The 16,823-nt window shown below is 39.5% G+C and overlaps 1 protein-coding gene across 2 annotated transcripts in view; it reads left to right on the top strand.

Annotated features, from left to right (window-relative positions):
• Positions 1 to 16,823, top strand: part of SORCS3 (sortilin related VPS10 domain containing receptor 3) — a 623,953-nt gene that overhangs the window by 536,653 nt on the left and 70,477 nt on the right. For both annotated transcript variants that reach the window (NM_014978.3, XM_011539542.2), the window contains one exon: positions 124 to 231. In NM_014978.3, the coding sequence (NP_055793.1) occupies positions 124 to 231 (108 nt within the window). The remainder of the gene's footprint in view (positions 1 to 123; positions 232 to 16,823) is intronic.

Consider the following 16,823-nt stretch of genomic DNA (forward strand, 5'->3'; position numbering starts at 1 on the left):
TATTGATAATCCACACTGCCAGAAAGCAAGATACAGAGGAAAATTTAATAACCTGAAAAACGGTTACAGAAGAGTGTGGCTTTATTTTCAGCTGTCTTTTTTGTGTACTTGTTTCCAACACAGGGTGAGTTTTGATGAGGGCCACTCTTGGGACAAGTATGGTTTCACTTCGGTTCCTCTCTTTGTTGACGGGGCTCTGGTGGAGGCAGGAATGGAGACCCACATCATGACGTGAGTACTTCTTTTGCTGTGACAGGAAGAAGACCAGAGACACTGGTTCTACTTTCATTGAGGCCTTGGATTTTTCCCAGGGAACCCTACACCAAAGTGGTCCAATCTCTGGGCCAAAATTTCCTCATCTATAAAATGGAAATACTTATTTTTATACCTACAAACTCAAAAAGCTACTGCCAGGATTAGGGAGGCTAGGGTCCTAATTGAACAGTCAAGGTTTCTAATAGAATTTAAAGAATTATAGCAAATTCCCATTTATTTAAAACCCAAGCAAACAGAAAACTTATGTCGTTAGATGGTTTTTTTCTCTTTCCAAAACAGTCTAGTGGGAGATAAGGAGCAGGGGCAGGGATGGAGGGAGTAAAACAGTCAACTTATTGAAATCAGAAATATTGTAAGAGATGTCTCTTTCTCTCTCTCATAGACACACACACACACAAACACACACAGACACACACTCCACAGTTATTTTGCTTCAGATTATTTCACTGTAAATTTTTTTCTATACTCTTTTATAATGAGATTTAATCTTAGAAGTTGATCACCTGTGTTTATGTGTGCACATGTGTACATGGTGAGTGGGTAACCGTAATCCTCCACCAACCAATACTGTCCCCCACCTCCCCTACTCCCATTTGGCTGGAGAACCTTACACCTCAGCTCTTCACTGGACAGAGTGGAGTCTTGTTGGGCAAAATTAAGGGATATTTGCTACAGTGTGGAGTTGGCACAGAAGGGCTCACAGCGTGCATCTGTGCTGGTTCGGTGGAAGGGTGTATGATCTTCCTACGCTTAGGGACACTGCTCTTGTTTTAACTTTTGTACACATAGATTTCTTTATAGTTTGAATTAGTCTTTTTCCAATGGTGATGGACTTGGAAGAAAGGCCAATCTAGGAGCCAATAAGTGATCAGTTATAAAAAAATTCTTTGTAACTGTATTTATGCAGTTTTGATCAAATCTTATAGTTTGGCCCCATTCTCGTCTATGAGGCCTATTTGAACTCATTGCATCTTCTTTTGGGCATTACTTTGAACAACATCATGTGTATGCCAATCTCTACATGACCTGGTATTCCCTAGCAAGTTTAAGGCCACAGCTTAAGTTCTGTGTTCATCTAATCTTAAATGGTAATAATTTTTTTCTCAGCTTCAGATGGAGTTTAGCTGGTCACATGGATATGAGGGAGATTGACCTCAGAGCCAAACCATTTACTGAAAAGATGAGATAGCACTCCTGTTTTCCTTTCCTCCTGGCCAAGACTCCCTAAGAGCTTGACAGAGCTTCTGTGCCTGTTTTATTTTCTTATCAAGATACTTAGAGAATAGAGCATAATCATTTTCTTATAGGGGATCTTTTTATGAAATTAAGATGGATCTTGGAAGTATTCATCAAAATGAATATAAACAATTCAAGTTACCTGTTTTCACATTTTGTTAAATTCAGAGTTTCTTTTGTATGAAAACAACACAGATTTTGTCAGGACTCTTCAGATAGCTGGACAAGCCCTGGAAGGGTTGCCAAGAGGTGATTTCTATCTCTATTCTAAATTTGAAAATGGTATTGAAACCAACTGGCCTACTAGGGTTGCCCAGTTGTGGAATGGCAATGGCAAAGATTGAAATAGGAGTTTTAAAATATTATGTATTTCTGTAGGAACTGTGAAGACAGGGAGTCCATTTGGGGACAAGAATGCTTAGCTTTGCCGTTGAATTGAAAACTTATTAATAAAGTAGGTCATTCAAATACTGTGTATCCTTCCCCTTACTGTTAACCCTGATTCTCTCTTTAGCTCTGTGTGGTCAGGGAGAAAAAACAGCCACTCTAAGGTTCTGTTGCTTTCTCTTATCCATTGATTTGGAGAATTTATATATTTAACAGTTAGAGAGCTTCTAATATATATCAGACCTTGTTAGAACTTAGGAGATTTTATAAAGGCAAATGAAATTATTTGTCTGCAAGGAGCTCTCAGACTTAAGTGGTGAGAGTAAGTGGGGATAAAGTAATCATCATGGTACCCTAGTTATACAGCCAGGAGATAGCAGAGGAAAACGAAGAATTCACACACACAGTAGGTGACAACTGAGTTGGTCTGGAAGTTTTCATAGCAGTTCACAAGTGGAAAACCATATAATAGAGAATGAAATGTAAGTTCCAAGAAAGCATAGATTTTTAACAGTTTTATTCACTAATATAAACTCAGTGCTGAAAGCAAGGATTGGCATGTTGTAGGAAGTCAGTAATCGTTGAATGAATGAATGATTCCAAGGCAAAGGAAAGAACACAAACAAAGGTAAGAACCATGAAAGAGGGTGGCTGGGTGTTAAGGGAGTAAGACTATGAAAGATTTTAGGTCACATTTAGGAATTTGACCTGTATCCAGAGTGATATTTTTGAAATTAAAAAATCTGATCAAATCACCAGTTTTCTTAAAACCCATGGAGCCCTTTCCATTGCCTTTAGGATAGAGTCTAAACTCATAGAATGGCCTACAAGTATCTATATTGACCACCTGCTTGGGGCTTTTTCTCCAACCTCCCTGACCTGACCACCCTTTTCTGATGCACTGGTGCCTTCCTGCCCCCAGGTTCTTTGTATCTGCCAGAATGGGCCTGCCTTCCCTACTTAAACAACTAAATTTCTAAGTATCTTTCTGATCTCAGTTTAAATATCAGTTCTCATAGCCTGCCAGATCAGGATGGGTTCCCACGCTCTATGTTATCTGGCCTTATTTATTTTTTCCTTCACAGCACTTTAGATAATAAATGTTAATACAAAGGGTATTAGTTGTTGAATATCTTTCCCCTCCATCTTCATCTACCCTTAAGACAGACATGTGGATGCACACACATGTGCACACGTGCACAGACATCCCTGCATGTGACTTTAAGTTCCCATGAGGGAGGATCTTTGTGTATCTTGTTCTTTCAGTGCCATATATTTACCAGGCTTGTGCTAACATGGAGGATTTAACAGTATATATGTACTGGATAAATGAATTATTAAATGGAAGAATCAAGTGACTTCTAAAAATCTTACCTTTGTTGTGATTGTTGTGATTTTTCTGGCCCATGGCTCTAGCATGTTAGGAAATTGATTATAGATCTCTAGAGATTCTGAAATGCTATGGTCAGAATGCAGTAGGTGCAAATCATGGGGGCTGGGGTTGGATAGGAATCAGAGCAGACTGCATATGTGTGTAGAGGTGTCTATATGGAGGTTATGATACATTGGGGTGGAATGGCATGTGGGCACAAAAGGGCAGCTAGAGAATGAGGAGCTTACTGGGAATGATTCTGATTTCCTCCACCTTTCACAATAATCTGCCCAATTTCCACTTTTCCTGGAGGCCAGTGCTCCAGGAACATGGACATTTCTAACACCGTAGCTTTGCAGGAGGATTTACATGGGAGACAGTCCCCAGAGTGGAGGCCTGGGACTTGGCTACCTTTATTGCTCTTTTTACTACTGTCTTTTCAGATGTTATTATTTAAACATCCCCCTGGTAACTGTAATGGGAACCATCTAGTCTAGCCAAATTCAAAATGAAATGTGACTGTTCTTATTACTTAAGGCTGAGGACAGGCTGACTGACAAGCTGGAGGGCCTATTGCAGTCTCAGGCAGTGGCTCTCCAGATGATGAGATGCCTGTGGCTGTTGCAGCACTTGGGCCTCTTTGGTCCACTATTTCATGAAAGGCTGTTTGCCCTTTGATTAGCACTTTAAAGAGAGCTTTTCTTTAGCTTGACTGAGATGTGGAATCAGATAGAAAAACACTGCTTTCCTGCATCCTCAAAGCTATGTTTGAAATTCTTTCCTGATAAGAAATGTTTGAACCAATTGGCTATGATTTAGCTATAGTTTTACAGGGGCCAAAGAGAACCTAGCAGCTTCCTAGAAAAAAAAAATCTTAGAAGGGAGAAGTACAGCTTCTCTGAAAGAGATCAGACACTTCTTACCATGAGTGAATGTCTAAAATGCTTAAGGAGAATTTAGTCTGATTTGGAGGAACCCAGTGAAGACCTTGCAGCCAACTTGTGACTATTCAGCATCTTTTTTTTTTTTTTTTTTTTTTTGTGCCAGGTATCACATTGAGCACTTTTTCAAACTTGATTTTATGGAAATCTCCCAACAACTCTGGAAGGTAGATAGGATTGGCATCATTGGGCAGATGAGGACACTGAGGCTCAGCTCACATGTTCATAAAGAGGCAAAATAAGAGCAAGGAATGTGAATTTCAAGCTCCAGGCTTGAAGGTAAAATTTAAAGGAAGGTACTATAATTCTCTAAGGTTTGTTCCATCAAGGAGTACCAAGATGTGTGGGGAAACAGTGGCAGTATACCAGTTGTTTACTTAGTAAGATGAGTGCCTGCTATGCTGCCAGACACCAAGTCACAGCAGACCTAGTTCTTGATGTTAATTCACAATCCATTTGAAGAAGTACGATAAATACATGAAATAATTAGATAATGATTAAATGGTAAGGTATGGTATAAATGTGTTTTGTTGTTGTTGTTGATGTTGTTTGTTTGTTTGAGGTAGGGTCTCACTCTGTTGCCCAGGTTGGAGTGCAGTGATGCGGTCATGGTTCACTGCAGCCTTGACCTCCCAGGCTCAGGGGTCAAGTGATCCTCCTACCTCAGCCTCCCAAGTAGCTGGGACTACAGGTGCTTGCTACCATTCCCGGCTAATTTTTGTATTTTTTATAGAGGTGGGGTTTTGCCATGTTGCCCAAGCTGTTCTTGAATTCCTGAGCTCAAGTGATCTGCCCACCTCAGCCTCCCAAATTGCTGCAATTACAGACACATGTGCCAGTGCGCCTGGCCAGTATGGGAAACATTTTAGTTGCCGTTAGATATCAAAGATGTGATTGAAGACAGAGTGGCTGTAAAGGGGTTCATGGCTATACAGAAAAGAGGGAGCAAGGACATTCCTGGTGGGTGGAACAGTGTGAGCAGACATGGAGTGGTAGGAATGTGCCTGGACAGTAGAGGAAAGTGAGAGGTGAAAAGGGCTACAGATACCTTTGGCTAGGGCCAATTGCCTTGTTGACTCCTCTTATAAATCCAGTTGTAATTGGCATAAATCTCTGATTAATTGTTCCACCAGCAGAACTAACAGCCAAAGTGAAGGGTAGAAAGATCATTTTGCTTAGAAAATTATGCAAACCCCAAAGCTGCAGAGGTTTTTTTTTCTTTTTTTAAATGAAGCCTTTTCCACTTAAAAAACTGTGACCACATGCCTAGCAGGGATCATTCTTTTAAATACAGCCTTAGCACAACGCAGAGGCTCAGCACTGAGCTTAAATGCATTGTTTAGCCTCTAGTAACTGCATCCGATAAAGTCGTTGAAAATGAACCAGAGCTGCTTCCATTGATCTGTTTTTCAATTCTCTGTTGTTTGCTGGAAGAGCCTGATTTTACTTTGCCCAAAGTAAGTCATTCGAGTAATCGGCAAATCCGGTGGAACTCCCAAGTCATCACCTCTCAGGCTGGCTGCTTGATTCATAACCTTCAGATTGTCGCCAGGCTTGCCAGCAACTCAGAGGCACACTCTTGTTTGTGCCAAGGAACACAAAAGCAGAATCCATGCCTGCAGAGGGGGTATTGGATGATGGTAGGGTATACTGGGGACTGGCAACAGCCTGGAAGGAAAAAGCTTATTTTGATCAATGGATTGCTGTGTGGGCTCAGGGGGAGGGATGGTGTGGTGACTGAGAGCATGGGCTTTGGAGATTCACTTTCCAGGGAAAATGCTCAGCTGGCTGTTTACCACCTATGTGACTTTAGTGCCTTGCTTCACTCCGCTCTGAGCTCCCGTTTCCTCATGTGGATGTGAGGACTAAGTGAAATAATAACCTCTATTGAAGAACATTGGACATGTTGGTAATCTCTGTGATCTAATGATCAAGAAACAGGCCACTTGCAGGGAAGAGTTTTGGCCAGCTAGAGCAGGGGTTGGCAGACTCCTGTAAAGGGCCACACAGTAAAGATTTTAGGCTTTGCTGGCCATAGGGCTTTTGTTGCAACTATTCAATCCTTCTAGCCTAGTGGGTGAAAGCAGCCATAGACAGTATGGAGACAAATGGGCATCTGTGTGTTCCAATAAAACTTTATGAACACTGAATCTTGAATTTCATATAATTTTCACATGCATGTCATAAAATATAATTCTTCACTTGCTTTTCCCCCCCAACCATTTAAAATGTAAAAATAACTCTCAGCTTGTGGGCCGTCCAAACCATAGAGCTGGCCAGACATGGCCCGTGGGTTGTAGTTTGACCCTGAACAAGAATGCCCATGGGTTTTTATCCATTGTAAATATATTAAAAATACCATTTGAATTTTTGACAGTTTTTACATATTTCCCCTAGCTATAAATTGCTTCTCCAATTGCACTGCCTAATGAAATATTGAAAATATACTTTTTATGAAATGGCTTAGAAGTTTCCTTATTTCTTTAAAAAAGTTTTATTGAGATATAATTGATATATACAAAATTGCACATATTTAATGTATACATTTTGATGAGTTTGGATGTATATGTACAACCATGACCATCACCACAATTGCAGTTACTAAACATATCCTATCATCTCCAAAAATTACCTTTTGTTCTTTTGTGAGTTTTTTTGGGTAAGAACATTTAACATGAATTCTGTCCTCTTGATGTATTTTAAAGTGTACAATAATGTATTGCTAAATACAGACACTATGTTATACATCAGATTTCTAGAACTTACTCATCTTGCATAATTGGAACTTTATGTGCATTGAAGAACTCTTCATTTTCACCTCCTCCTGCCCCTGGCAATTATCACTCTATTCTCTGCTTCTATGAGTTTGACTATTTTAGATACCTTATGTAAGTAAAATCATAAAGTATGTGTCCTTCGATGATTGGCTTTTTTCACCTAACATAATGTCCTCTTGGTTCACCAATGTTGTCATAAATGGTATATTCAGCTTTTGTTAAAAAAATAAAATAAAAAACACTCCTCATTTCTTATCAAAACCCCACATATAAGTCTCACCTCTTTCAGGAAGCCCAAGTTCTTTCTCATTTCCTTATATTGAATTCCTTTCATGGGGCTCACAGTGACTCACAGGTGTATCTTGCTTGGTGTGTACTTTTTCCAATGGAGCCCACATTTGCAAAATCAGAAACATCTGGCAGCACTAAGTCCAACACCCTGTAGTCCAACATTCTCCTGAAGCTGCATGGCAACTGCCCACTTCGGACAGGGTATGCTGTTTCTGCCCCACCCCTCACCTGGTGTACACATGTCCTCTCCGGCTGTCCCGTTTCACTCCTTGTTCGTTGAAGTTGCCCTCCTGCTCTGGTAAGATTTTAAATTTGTGATTCACAATTTGGATTCTATATCTGCAATTTCATAACTACATTATTGTCTTACAGGTTTTTGTTGACATTTAAGAAATACAGAATAATGCAAAGAATAATATTACAAAGCTTGTGTACCCACCACCTGAAATTAATAAATATTAATCTGTTATCACTTTGATTCAGATTTTTAAATAAAATATACAGGAAATCCTAGATAGAATTGATATTTTCATTATTGTCCATCTCAGACTTATTATCCTTACTCCTTCCACAACCCCTTCTAGAACATATGTGGACACTTTCAGCACTTATGTATTCATAGAAATATATGTGGTATCACTTTATATGTTTTCTAAATGTCTAATTTATAAAAATAATATTCTTCTACATGATTTTTTCTCTCAATATTATCTATCTGGGGTCATATCCATCTGGTCCAGGCACTTTTCGTGCTATATGGCATGTTGTCATGATATAAATATGCACAATTTATTTATCTATTTTCTTATCAATGGAAATTTAGGTTATTTCTAGCTATGTGCTCTTACAAACAGTATTACCACATCTTTATGTATGCCTCCAGGTACATACATGGAAGAAGTTCTCTGAGTTGCAAGCCAGAAGTGGAATTGGTGGGTCATGGTGAATTGACATTATCACAAATAATGCACTCTTATTATGCAACAATAATGCAATAATAATTCTTGTACTATTTTCTGATTGTTTTACATGTGGATTATCTTTGCAGATAGAATGCCAGGGCTTTTTATTTGTTCTGTAAGATTGAGGAGGCTTGCAACTGTGTCTTATTTATTATCTCCCATAGCACTGAACATAATTGTCCTCGTGCATAGGTGATGCTCAGCAAATATATGGTGAGTAAGTAATTCTGTTGGACTCGATGGCAAACTAAGAGCAGGTACTGAACTTTATACTTTTTCTGATTCTTTTTATTTTTTGGTTCAGGAATTGACATAAAGTAGGAAACTGAGAAATGTCATGACATTTTAATGACATAAGAAAACACAGTGTCCCTCTTTCCCTTCCTCTCTTATAGCTCTTTAAATTTCCCTATCTTAACCGGGTGCGGTGGCTCACACCTGTAATCCCAGCACTTTGGGAGGCTGAGGTGGGCAGATCACCTGAGGTCAGGAGTTTGAGACCAGCTTGACCAACATAGTGAAACCCCGTCTCTACTAAAAAATACAAAAATTAGCTGGGCGTAGTGGTGGGCACTTGTAATCTCAGCTACTTGGGAGGCTGAGGTGGGAGAATCGCTTGAAACCAGGAGGCAGAAGTTGCAGTGAGCCGAGATCGTGCCACTGCACTCCAGCCTGGGCAACAAGAGTGAGACTCCATCTCAAAAAAAAAAAAAAAAAAAATTCCCTCTTTCCTCCTGTCTAAATCCCATCTCAAATATCCATCTTCTCCCTTGTTTCCATCTCTTAGAGTCTCTGTCATTGCTCAACTCCAGACTTATCTTCTACAGGTTCACAGACCACATTTTCTCACCCACAGTTATGGACCTTAAACTTTCAAGCCCATTACAGGGATTTAGTTAGTTTTGAGAAAAGAATCAAAGTTGTTTGGACTAGGATGATTTATTTTTATTCATTTTAGAAATCATCTTTCTTCCTTTTGCTTCTTCTCTCCCAATGCTTTTTAGTCTCTTTCTCGGTTTTCCTTCCACCCACCTCTTCCCCCCATATTTATTTTCAAGCCTTTCAATCTTTGCCGCTTTCCACTACCTTGCCAATCATTGTATTGTGTAACTAACAGTCTCCACTTACAGGATTCTTGCTGTTGATCCCCTGCCTATTTCTATTAAGGTCTAGTTCATGTCTGGCCTTCGCTCAGTGCAATTCGCCCTGTAGCCACTGACCTCCTTTACCACTAATCCCATCTACATCCTAATGGGAAAACAATCAGGTGGCATGGACACACACCAATAGCCAAGAATGTGGCCTGAATTTCTGGAGACCAACAGCTGTTGTCTGCTGATGTCTGGCCTTGCCACAACTATGCTCTTTCTACTTTGATTTGAAATCTGTCCTCAGCAGCTTCCTTCATGGAGGGAGGGAAAGGAGGAGGGCTTTTGGAGGCAGAGGAAAAAGGAGGCATGGGGAGCCAGGCCTTTCAGAGAGAACTGAACTCTTATAGGAACACTTAAAAGAGGATTCGGGAGTCCACATGAATCAAGTGTTGCTATTACAAGAACATTTATTATTTCTTTACTCAACAATACGTATCGATAGCTTACTACAAGGCAGGCACTGTTTTAAGAGTTCTAGAAGCTGGGCTAGGGCATAAACAAAATAGTCAGGGTCACTGTTAAGAAGTTTATATTTTAAAAGCCACTTCCATCCTCAGTAGAGGAAAGATCAATTTTGAAGGAGGTTTATTTCAGCTCTGACATTCATGGAATCAGTTCTATAATCCAATTCTGAGCTTTTTAAATGGTGGTGGTGGTGCTGCTGCTGCTGGTGGTGGTGGTGTGTGTAACTGAGTAAAAGAGAGAAAAAAAATTGGGGGAGATAGATAGTGCTAAGGCTTAAGGGCTTCAGGGTACCTCTAACTTCCAAAGATTCTAACCCTGGCTTCAGTTTGATTTTTGCTTTTTGCCTAGCCTGAGAAAGAATAACATGCCAATGAATCAAAGGAACATCACAGAATATTAAAAGCATTACCTCCAGTGAGGCTTTTATTTTCTTATCTACAGATTTTTTTAGTTTTCAAATTTTTCATGATGAGAGTGCATTATTTTTATAATGAGAAAAAGGGAAATCATTTATCAAAATGATAAATTTAAAATGACATTTTAAAAAATCATCTCCCAGATAATGAAAGGGAGGGGCTGCATTTGAGTTTATCCTGATGATGATGTGGGTCACTCTTACTCTCCCTTTGAGGTTGTGATCTGGAGGAAGAAAGAGCCTCAACTGTGTACCATCACTTCCCAGTGCTAACCAATGCCCTGATGAAATTAATACTAAATCATTTCAAATAAACATACTACTAGAACCCAATAAGAGGTAAGAATGGGAAATAGACAAATTCTACTTGTAAAATAAAATTTCAGGAAATTGCTAAATAGTGGCTTCTGCTGAAACAGTTCTCTAATTTCTTCAAGGTCATCTGGTTAATTTATGCTGCATTTGTAAGTTATTGTGTATTTTAAAAATTAATGAAAGATTTAATTATAGCAGGGTTGCCTGTGACCTTTTGTGAAATGACTTCATCATAAATCTGCAGGCATTTTAGAACTGTTTTCCAGGTTTGTAATAATTTGCTCTCAAATTAATGACATCCAGCCAGTAAAAGGAGTTGAAGCTGGGTGAAAGGATTGAGTCGGGATTTGTGGTTACCTAGCAATGGCTAATTCTGAGTCCTGGATGGAGGTGGTAGAGGAGATGGTGTATGACTCACCGGAATCCACAGCACGTTTAACTATTTGCTTAGAGGAATGAGAAATAAATCCAGTGTGTCAATAGGGAGAAGTTGTATGTAGCCAGAGTGGGTCACTGGAGAGCAGTTGATTACAGTTCATTTATCTACATATGAATGTAGGGTAACCCCTGGACCAATGTGAGAATTTCTCTTCTTCCCTCACTTCTAGCAGGGGTTCTTTATTTGTAAATTGAGGGTCTTTGCCTGCCCTCAGCTTGCTGGCTACCCATGAAACCCATTTTAGACTCTAGCGCCCTAGTATTTCTGACTTTCACCCACGCAAGTGGCTCAATGAGCAGCATAGTTAAGCTGTCTCTGGATAGGAGTAGGCTCATTTCATCTTTGTCCCTGTCATTCTGATGATTCATTTGATCCAATAAAGTGAGAGGAAAGGCTGTGCAGGGGAATGCCACGTCTTAGCACATCAAAGATCCTCTGTCTTAGAAGAAACTGGTAGTGCACATCTGTAGTTACAGAATGGCAGGCTGGAGTTTGGAAAATGCAGAGCACCCTTTAGGCGCAGGAGCCTGGGAGAAAAGGCAGTGAAATCTGGAAAGTAAGTCTTGGCTGAAGCCTTTCCTAGTTAACTGCAGTCCTGGATGTGAATCACTTCTCTACTCTGCATTCCTCAAGTTTTCATGGTGCTGCGGTCACATATGGCACACCATGACTCTGCAAGCTGAAAGTTTCCCATGAAGAGCAGTCAGCTTGGAAGAAAGAGCTGGCTGTCAAGAGACTTGGGTTCCAGATCTTTGTGTCCTTGAGCAGGCCTTAGTTTCCCCAGCTAGCATGTGAAAAGGTTGGTCAGAAGCTCATCCATAAAGACCCCTCCAGCACTGAAACTTTATAATTCTGTTTGTTCTTTTGTATGCCTCAGGGATTCCCAACTGGAGGCTAAGCCAATAGACTCATAGCTCAGAGTCAACTACATAATTCTTCATGCAGTAGATGCTTTAGCCTTTGAGACAAATAGGGTCATAATTGGAACTTTCTAGATAACCTCTTCTCTGCAGATTTCTCCTTTTTTCCTCCAACTGTACTTTCAGTTTTATATATTTCAAGGCATTTCTGCCTTTTATGCAAACAGGCTATTAGGAGCTGGAGGTGAGAGCATCCCATTGCCCATACCTCAGTGCCAAACTGTGCAGTTAAATGATTGCTAATGAGTCATGAAGGACTTAAAAAAGAGTAACAGCCTTGCTGAAAACACACATTGCTGAGAATTGTTTTAGAATGGTTGCTGCAAATGCCTAAATTTGACCCCTGGCTTCATCATTTACTTGCTGTGTAACCTTGTCAGATGAGTTATTTAACTTTTCTGAACCTCAGTTTCCTCATCTGTTAAATGGGAGTAACGAATAAAATGAGATGATCCATGCATAGTTGTTAGCATACCCTCAGTGTTCAATAATTTTTCACTAATATTAGTAATATTAATTGTTATTATTATTTTTGAGACGGAGTCTCGCTCTGTCACCTCGGCTGGAGTGCAGATCTCAGCTCACTGCAACCTCTGCCTCCCGGGTTTAAGCAGTTCTCCTGCTTTAGCCTCCTGAGTGGCTGGGATTACAGGTGCGTGCCACCACGCCAAGCTAATTTTTGTATTTTTGGTAGAGACGGGACGGGGTTTCACCATATTGGTCAGGATAGTCTTGAACTCCTGACCTCATGATCTGCCCACCTCGGCCTCCCAAAGTGCTGGGATTTCAGGCGTGAGCCACTGTGCCTGGCCTAGTAATATTAATTATTATTGTTATTTGACTGAGATCTGCTGATCTACTGTTTGCAAAGTCTTATGGGTATGGATCATGGGGATATAAAAGCATAAGGCACACTGTCTGCCCACAAAGTTCTTAGACATCCAGCAAAGACAAAGTAAATAATCATAATATATAACCATACTAATAATTGTTTAAAATTATTAATTTGTTAATTTATAGCAATCACTATAAAATACAACTCAAAATCGTGTTAGATACTGCTATTATCCTCATTTTGCACATGAGGAAAGTAAGTTTAAAGTGTGTAAGGAACCCTCTGTAGTTCCAGGATTGGGGCTCTCATCTGGGCCATCTAATATGAACACTTTTGTGCTTAAGCACTTTATTCTACAGCCACTCAGACAATAAATATGTGACAAGCACCTGTGATGCATAAGGCACAACTTATGTGAGTTGCAAAGTTCTAAGAAGTTAAAATCTAGCAAAGAGAATAAGACACTTATGTACATATGCTATGATTTTTGATACATTTTGGAAGTGCTGTGGGTCATACCCAAAATACAGATAAAATGCTAAGAAATTCAGAGGAGAGTGATTTTATTTTCTTCTGAGGAAGGAAAAGAAGCAAGGAGGAAAGATCAGAGAGGACATAATAGAAAGGTAGTATTTGAATTACAAGTAAAAGGAATAACCTACCAAGAAAATAGAATAATCTCAAAACCTGTACAGTTTTGTGGTTATATAATATAAAGACTATAAAACATGCAAGGAGAAATGAAAGGTTTGCAATCGTAGGAAAACATTTTGATAAACCTCACTTAGAAACCAATAGACCAAGTAGTCCAAAGGTTAGTATGATTTTGAATATTGAATAACATTATTAGAAAGCTTGATTTAAAGCAGCAGTCCCCAACCTTTTGGGAACCAGGGACTGGTTTCGTGGAAGACAGTTTTCCATGGGTGAGAGTGCAGGTGGGGGGTGTTGATTTCGGGAAGAAACTGTTCCACCTCAGATCATCAGGCATTAGTTAGATTCTCATAAGGAATGCACAACCTAGATCCTTTGCATGTACAGTTCATAGTAGGGTTCATGCTCCTGTGAGAATCCAATACCACAGCTGACCTGACAGGAGACAGAGTTCAGGCAGTAATGCTCGCTCCCTAGCCACTCACCTCCTGCTGTGCGGCCCTGTTCCTAAACATTTAATATATTTCAACATGTTGACCATACACTGAGCCAAATACAATGTCTAGACTACTTTCAAAGAGCTGATTATCATTGAAACCACATTCTCTTTAAATATTTGCAATTAAATTAGAGATTTTAAATAAAATGATGGTGATGAAAACAAAGAATAAAAAACTTCAGTTTTTTATATTCTATATGACTTCCATGCCCATACTCACATTAATAAATTTGTATGCCTTTGAAAAGAAAAAGGAAGAAACCTCATACATTTGGAAACAAAACCGTGAGTTCTTTATGAATCATTTTGTTTCTTAAAGAGGAAATAAGGATGGTCTCTGGAAAATATTTAGATTTGAAAAGCTTTTCTCCTGCCCCTTTTATCCTCCAATCAAAACCTACTACCTGTATTTTGACCTAAGGCTTACAGAATGAGTAGGAGTTGGACAAGACAAGGTGTGGGGTAAGCCATCCCAAGCAGAGGAAAAGCATGTTGAAGCCTGCGTCTCTTGATGCAGAGGCTTCTAGCCTGAAGACTGACAGTCCAGTCAAGGCAGTAACAGAAAGAAGAAACTCAGGAAGGGGCTGGCAGAGTCGGCTTCACCCTGCTCTGTTTCTGAAGATGTTATTCCGGCAGATGGAAATGGGACAGTTGGTGGTTAGAAGAACTCGAGTTGCAGGCACTGGAGTCTCTGAGGACAGAAAAGAAGGACGTCCCAGTTGTGAGTCAATGGCAAATCAAACTCAACAATATTATCTTAGTTGAGTTTGATCAAAGATGCACTCAATAGTCAGCCTGCAGTGAAGTCCACTAATATAACTCCCAAAGCACTGTTTGTTCTTCCTTTTCGACGTTTTTTAGTGGCTTCCTAGGAACAAATTCTGATTCTTTCTTGAAGGATTGTGGTCAACCATTCTCTTCTTGAAACTTCTCTCAGCTTTCATAACTATGCATAAAAGTTGGCATAATTGGGAGGCTACAAAAGAATCAAATGACTAGGCAGGCGAGAGTCAAGTAACCCAGGGCTGCTCTCCTATAAAGAGGAAAACATCTTTACAGAGCCTAGTCCTCTAATTACATTTAGTGTGGCATTCTTTCCACCTAAATTATAGCAATTATATACAGAGATCCCCTTTGAAATCATTTAATTAATGAGTAGCTAACCCTCTCTGTGTATAGAATTCTAATGAGGTCTTTTATTTTTGTGAACCGCCTCCCTCCCTCAAATTAATTACTCCCCTTCCTGAAAGGCTTACTCAGGCCTGAATGGTGGATTAAAGGAGGTGGGTTATTTAGGGTCCCAGCAAATCATATTTGTTTGTGGAAATCCTAGCACAGTCCAGGGTGACAAGGGACAGAGCATTTGCTGCAATTACTTGCCTGAGATTGTTTCTGTCCTTCTATATTCCAAATGATACACAACTCAGCCACATTCTTTGACCCAGAAATAAGGGCAGATGAAGCTATTACCTCAATTTTGGAAGAAGTGAATGATTTTGTTAGATTAATTCTATCATTAATCAACCCAGAAGTATTTATTAAGCATCTGTTATATGAAAGAAGTACCAGTGCAGACAAAGATGAATGACTGTAATAGATAAATCCTTTGTGTATAGGGTTACCAGGAGATGGATAGCTTTGATGTAGACATTGAGGTGTACTTTGAGGTAGACATGGGGATTGAAAGAAAATAAACTCTTAGAAATGGTCTCAAAAGGGCCACATTCCCTGTAGGCTATTTCTGCAACTCATTCTTTGAACACATGTCACTGATTTCAAACAATCTTTTATTAAAAAGATAAGTCCTTGAGAGATGAAGTGATTTGCTCAAGGTCACCTACTTAATTTTATGGCAGACCATGTCTAGGAAAAGCCAAGTCTTCTATTTCCCTGCCCAGTACTCTTGCGACCATGCCCAGACCACCCATATGTTAACAACAATTCAAGAGCACAGGAAGACCACCTGTAACCAGAGTCATGTTAGCAGTGTAGGCATTTAGAATCAGAGGAGTTTTAGAAAAAGACAGAGATGGCCTCTTAAGTTTGTAGAGTCCAAGAAGAAGGTGAATCTTGAGTGGTTGTCAAATACTCTCATGAAAAATCCAAGTGGCAAGGTAAAAGGAAAGAGAAAAATGGGAGTTATAAATTTTAATTGATTTTTTTTCCTGAAAATCTATATAGTGAGAAATAGCATAGAGAATTCATTTATTTTGTTCCTGTGGTTGGGAGCAACTTCCTCAGGAAACCAAAGGGTAGGCTACCTGTTTCCAGGTGGTCATCTATATTTATATATGAGGTGTTCACTTTCTCCAAGGCTCACTAGGAAGATATCAAATAAAAAAAGAAAGTCCCAGCATATGAAGTTAGTACGTACCTTGATAAAAGGATTTTGAGCCAAGCCTATTGAAAGTCCTTGATGAGAAAGTCCTTGGGTGAGTCTATGAGGATTCCAACAGTAAAAATGATGATGATGGTAATAAACATTTGTTGTCTATTGTGATTTTCAAAATTTTCACCCACATTATCTCACATGTTGGGGGTTTGATTATGTTGGTGAAAATATGATTTGAGTTCAAAAGGGGGCTAGCAATGGGTTTCTGAAAAAGGCTGTCAAAATAGTTTATCTTGGTAATTGCAAGGAAGTGGGATTTAATAACAGTGAGTTTGGCCATACTAAGAATTCGTTTCTCTTTGCCAAAGACCTGAGAATAAAATTTCACGCTCTAGAATTGCCTTGTTTTTTTTCTGTTGGCATTCAATGATCAATTAGCCATTCTTTTTCAAGCAACTATTGTTGATAGGTTCCGTAGGATACAGAGAAGTACTAAAAGTATCCCCAGGCTTAAGAAGCTTTTTAATTAGTTGACAAAAATTTCACCAAAGATACA

The sequence above is a fragment of the Homo sapiens genome, chromosome 10 (assembly GCF_000001405.40).
Source record: "Homo sapiens chromosome 10, GRCh38.p14 Primary Assembly".
NCBI classification, from domain to species: domain Eukaryota; kingdom Metazoa; phylum Chordata; class Mammalia; order Primates; family Hominidae; genus Homo; species Homo sapiens.